The following is a 6000-nucleotide window of genomic DNA, read 5'->3' as shown; positions in this document are numbered from 1 at the left end:
TTTCTCACAGTTCTGGAGGCTGGGAAGTCCAAGATGAAGGTGCCAACAGATTCTGTTCTTGGTAAGGGCCCTCTTGCTGGCTTGCAGACAGCTGCCATCACTCTGTGTGCTCACATGACCTCTTTGTGTGCATGCTGACAGAGAGAGCTCTCATTTCACTTCCTCTTCTTATAAGGACACTAATCCCATCATAAAGGCTCCACCCTTGTGATCTAGTCTAAACCTAATTACCTCCCAATGGTCCCATCTCCAGATACTATCATACTAGGGATTGAGGCTTCAACATATGAGTTTGAGGAGGGCACAGATAATCAGCCCATAATGGCTGGTTAGAGAATAAATTAGTACAATCACTTGGAGGAGATCTGCAGAGCTGTTTATTCAACAGTTTCACTCCTAGATGAATTCTCTAGAGAAATACTCAAACCTGGGTAGAAGAAAACATAAAATGATATTAAAAACACTAGGAATGAGTGATTAGAAATGACCAAAATATTCATCAATAGGAGAACATATAAATTAACTATTGTACAGTAAAATCTCTCTAAAATACAATAAATGAGGTTCAAACATTCAGCCAGGTAAAATAAGGATTTTAGTTATGAGATCTTGCAGTTCTTGGGTCTCACTCTCTATGGTTTGGCAGTACCTGGTGAAGTTGTATGACTCAGCTTAAATATCAATGGGAGTGTTTCTTGGCCTTATATTTGGAATAAAATTCCAGGAGAGTGGTTACAGTACCACGACTTTTCCAGTTCATTGTCACCTCCTTTTGTTTGAGGGTTATATTCAATGAAATTATGCTGAAAGGATACTGGAGATAAGAAGACATACTCTTGTCTTATTCTTCAAAGATAAATTCCATTGCACTTGAATTTCACACTTATTCTGAGATTCTAGTATATATTACTTCAACAGAATAGTATATAACACTTAAAATGTATGAACTGGAGCTACAAATGTCAAAATGGAAATATCTCAAAAATATAAAGTTGAGTAAAAAAATAAATTGCAAAACAATATGTAGAGTCTGATCAAATTTGATTTAACTCAAATTCCAAAACTTGTAGAATTATATTGTATTTTTTGATATATACGTAATAAAAGTCAAAAACAATAATGACACACAGCAGCTTCAGGATTGTAGCCTCCTCTGGAAGGCAGGGAGATGAGATCAAGATAGTACATACAGTGATTTTCAATTGTGGTTGTTCCATTTTACCTCTTTTAAAAAACTGGAAGCCAATATGGCAGAATATTAAGGTTTTTTGATTCAGATGGTAAATATATGTGGGTTTGTTATATCATTTCATTTAGTGTGGTTAAAATATTTTGAAATTAAAAACATAGTCAGAAAAAAAATAAATCCATTGCTCTGACCCAATAAGTCCCTTCATCTTATGAAGAAAACTGAGACCCAAGGATGTATAGAGTTTCCCCACAGCCTGTATTTTATTTTCTGTCACTCTTTGAGAAGGAAGGTTTCCATTATTATTTGTGAGCCAAGTAATTAAAGTTTAGACATAATATGTTAGATTACCCTCCTTTAAAACGAAAAGAAAAGAAAGCTGAATGTAGTAGAATAAACTCTGCAGTGTGGTTGGCCTCCAGTACTACCCAATATCATCCAATTCAACGTGCTAGCTGAGAGCTTGAGTGGGTCACCTTACAGACAACCTCCATAGTCCATTTCAGCTCATCTGAAAGCTCTGTTTTAGAAATATTCTAAAAAATCTTTAACTCTCTGAAACTGTCTGTGAAATGTTCTGAATTTCCTGGAGAAAGGGTCTATCGATAGCACTGATAAGATTCTCAAAGTCATTTATGCCTCAGTAATGACTAAGATGACTATGTCAAACAAACTTTCATCACTCTACACATAATCATACTTTTAAGAAAAAATAGGATCTAAGAGCTTTTTTGGCATCAATGGCCAGAGCTCCTTCCCCTTGCCCTAGTCCATTTTCATAAAATAACAATGCTTTTTCACATGAGTGATAGTTTGGATAGTTGAGAAGATATTGGTTTCCATATCTGGTCAATCATTAGAATCACCTGAGAGCTTTTAAAATAATTTATCTAAAAAACCTGAATCAGCAGAGTGAGAGACAGTGGTTCGTATTAAAAAGCAACAACCCTCTGCTTCTGTAGGTGGGTTTTAGAATCACTAAATTAGAACATGATGCCAATCAGACCAGTTTGATCCAATAGGATCAATGAATTTCATACGGAGAAAAATCTCTGACCAATGATAACAAATTATATCTTTAAAAGCTTTTCTACCATTAAGTGATTTTTTTATAGAGGAGAAAAATAAACAGAGGACTAAGTATAAAGTAAAAGTGGGTGAATATAAGTCATTTTTCTGCTACTGAGAAGATAACTGAAACCTACGTGCCATAGAAAGTATATGACAGAATCATCATCCCATAAAAAGCCCACAGGAGTTGGTTGGATCTTCGTAGATCTTTGCATAAATGCTAGGACGGGAATTAGCCTGCAAAGTATAACTGCAGTTTTTAAGCCTTATGCAAACTTTGTGAAACTGGAAAAGAATCTCCAAAAATGTATAATGTCTTGTAATACAAATGTCCTAACCCAATTTAACTGATAAACTAAAAATACAGAAAGTTTAAGCAAAGTACATATCATATCATATATATGCATTTTAAGAGCAGCTACCATTTATTGTTATTCCTTATACAAAAAGCAGTTTAATAAGCTTTTAGGTATTTGTATAATCTTTTGAAAATCGACACTCCTATGAAATAAAAACTATTCATTATCTCCTATTGTATAGATGAGGAAACAAACTGATATATTACAGTGATACAACTTAAGATTACCAACTAATTATTATCTATATAATTCCAGAGTAGGATTGCTTTATGACTTTCATAGGACCTAGGTACATTTGCTTTTGTGGGTCCCTTTCTCAATAAAAGATACTAAAGGTTACATTTTATGACCAAATTGGTATAAAAATGAGTATAATTTAGGCCACATTATATTCAATTTTGAATGGCTTTTCTGCATGATTTGACATGATCATGAAGTCTTTCTTATTTAAACTGTTTATATATAAACTAATAAATATAAACTTTAGTTAATATAAACCAAAATCCACTGTAATATGTCAAATTACATTGATAATTTTTTTGAATACAAAACCAGTCTTTGTATTCCTGGAATAAACTCTTCTTGGTTGTGGTATACTTTTATATGGATGAATTCAATTTGCTAAAATTTTTTGAATTTTTGAATCTAGGATAATGAGAAATATTGGTCTATAGTTTTGTTTTTTTGGCATTGATCTATGTCTATGTTTGGTCTTAGGGTAGTGTTCGTCTTATAAAATGAATTGAATCTTTCCTTTCCTTTTATTATTTGGAAGATATTGTGTAGAATTAGTGCTATTTTTTATTTCTATTTATTTATTTAATTTTGAGACAGAGTTTCGCTCTTGTTGCCCAGGCTGGAGTGCAATGGCACAATCTGAGCTCACTGCAACCTCCACCTCCTGGGTTCAAGCGATTCTCCTGCCTCAGCCTCCTGAGTAGCTGGGATTACAGGTGCCCGCCACCACCCCCAGCCATTTATTGTATTTTTAGTAAAGATGGGGTTTCACCATGTTGGCCAGACTTGTTTCGAACTCCTGACCTCAGGTGATCTACCCACTTCAGCCTCCCAAAGTGCTGGAATTACAGGCATGAGCCACCGCACCTGACTGTAGTGCTATTTTTTAAATGTTTGGTAGAATTTGTCAGTAAAACCATCTGGAGCTAGACATTTCCTTTTCAGCCATCTAATATGTATTTATTTTAGCTACTGTATTTTTTAGCTGCAGAATTTCTATTTTGGCTCTTTTTTTTAATACTTTCCAAACCTCTCTTGAGATCTTTGCCTATTCATTTACTTTTTCATCTTTTCCTATGCATCCTAAAACGTTATTATAATAATATGTAACTCCTTGTCTGCTTGTTGCAATATCTAGTTCATCTGTGTTTCTGTTGAATTATTTTTTGATGATAGATATTATTTTCTAGCTTCTTCACATCTCATAATATTTTATTGTATTAAATTGTGCATAGAATTACAATGGAGACTGAGTTATACCACTATTTTTTTTTATTTATTCCAGTAAGCATGAACTGTTTTCTATGTGTGATAGCTAAATTGAGAGAGTGATCATTTACATTTTATTATGAGATAAGTTAATTTGGGATTGGACCCCAGCATTAGAAAGTCAAATACATTTCTGGTTAGCACAATTCCCAACTTCCAGCTCTGTTGCTGTAGGCCCTGATGATTCTGGGTTTGCCTTTCATTATCAGTGTTTTATCCTGAAGCTGGTAAGGGGTTGGGCCACAGTTATCACCTTTGGATTGAATGGGTTAAGGCCAGTTTCCAAGCCTAAAGAATGATTGAGAGTGAATAAGTTCTTTCTGGGTTTTGGTCCTGCCTTCACTGCCAGTTCACAGCAAAATTGTGGAGGGGGTAAGTATTAGAAAGAATAATTATTCAAGCAAATTATTAGTGCATGAGGAGTTTTTCTGAATGTAATCTGTCCCATCTGCTCTCATGATTGCCATTAGTTCCACAGGTTCCTCTGGACCTAGTAAGGGTAAAACTTTCTTCTCCCTCTGCCTGTATACAAACCCAACCAATTACCCTCCTCCCAGAAGATGCCACTAGCTACTTCTCACCTATGAGGTACTATCTCTCACTGTAAGTTAATTCTTCAAAGCTTCCTTACACACACTTTTCTTTGATAGTCTGATAGGTAATATGATGGTTAATTTTATGTGTCAACTTGACTAGGCTGCAGGTTGCTCAGATAGTTGATCAAACATTATTCTGGGCCTGGCACGGTGGCTCACGCCTGTAATCTCAGCAACTGGGGAGGCTGAGGAGGTCAAGAGTTCAGGAGCAGCCTGGCCAACATGGCGAAACCCTGTCTCTACTAAGAAAATGCAAAAATTAGCCGGGTGTGGTGGCATGCACCTGTAGTCCCAGCAACTCAGGAGGCTGAAGCATGAGAATTGCTTGAACCTGGGAGGTGGAGGTTGCAGTAAGCTGAAATCTCACCACTGAACTCCAGCCTGGGAGACAGAGTGAGGCTCTGTCTCAAAAAAAAACAAAAACAAAAACAAAAACAAAAAACATTATTCTGGATATGGCTATTTGGAGATGAGATTAACATTTGAATTGGTAGACTGAACAGTAGATTGCCCTCTGTTTTAATATGGATAGACATCATCCAATAGGTGAAGACCTGAACAGAACAAAAAGGCTGACCCCCCCTTGAACAAGGGGGAACTCTTCCTGTCTGACTGCTTTGAACAGAGACATTAGTCTTTGGACTCAAACTGAAACATCACCTCTTCTTGAGTCTTTAGACTGCCAGCTTTCAGACTGGAACTTACACTACCAGAGACTAGGTAATTTATAAAGAAAGGAGGTTTAACTGACTCACAGTTCCACATGGCTGAGGAGGCCTCAGGAAACTTACAATCATGGTGGAAGGCAAAGAGGAAGCAAAGCATGTCTTACATGGCAGCAGGAGACAGAGAGAGAAAGAGTGAGGAAATGCCACACTTAAAACCGTCACCTCTCCTGAGAACTCACTCACTATCACCAGAACAACATATAGGGGAAACGCCCCCCTGATCCAATCACTTCTCACCAAGTCCCTCCCTCAATACCTGGGGATTACAAGCAAGATGAAATTTGGGTAGGGCCATGGAGCCAAAACACATCAGGTGACTGGTCATGTCAGATTGAATCCCAAATAGTGATCAAAATGTTGAGAGTTTCAAAACTACATACTTGGAAGTATTTAACAGAGAGAAGAGAATAACCAGAAAATGATGGCTATTTTTAAATGACCATAAGACTGTCCTTACATAAGATGTTAGGTTTGTTCTTTGTTGTTCTAGAGGGCAGAACTAAGGCCAGTGAGCAAAAATCTAGGGAGGCCTATTTTAGTCTCAGTGAATT

At 36.5% G+C, this 6000-nt stretch overlaps 1 protein-coding gene across 1 annotated transcript in view; it reads right to left on the bottom strand.

Moving 5' to 3' along the window:
- Nucleotides 1–354: 354 nt before the first annotated feature.
- The window catches only part of PCTP (phosphatidylcholine transfer protein), a 101665-nt gene continuing 96019 nt past the window's right edge, over nucleotides 355–6000 (bottom strand). The window contains exon 8 of the mRNA XM_047436500.1: nucleotides 355–427. The gene's annotated coding sequence lies outside the window, so the exon portion shown is untranslated. The remainder of the gene's footprint in view (nucleotides 428–6000) is intronic.

The sequence above is a fragment of the Homo sapiens genome, chromosome 17 (assembly GCF_000001405.40).
Source record: "Homo sapiens chromosome 17, GRCh38.p14 Primary Assembly".
In the NCBI taxonomy this organism is placed as follows: Eukaryota; Metazoa; Chordata; class Mammalia; order Primates; family Hominidae; genus Homo; species Homo sapiens.
Note: the sequence above shows the minus strand (reverse complement) of the source record. Positions and strands in the feature narration are given on the sequence as shown.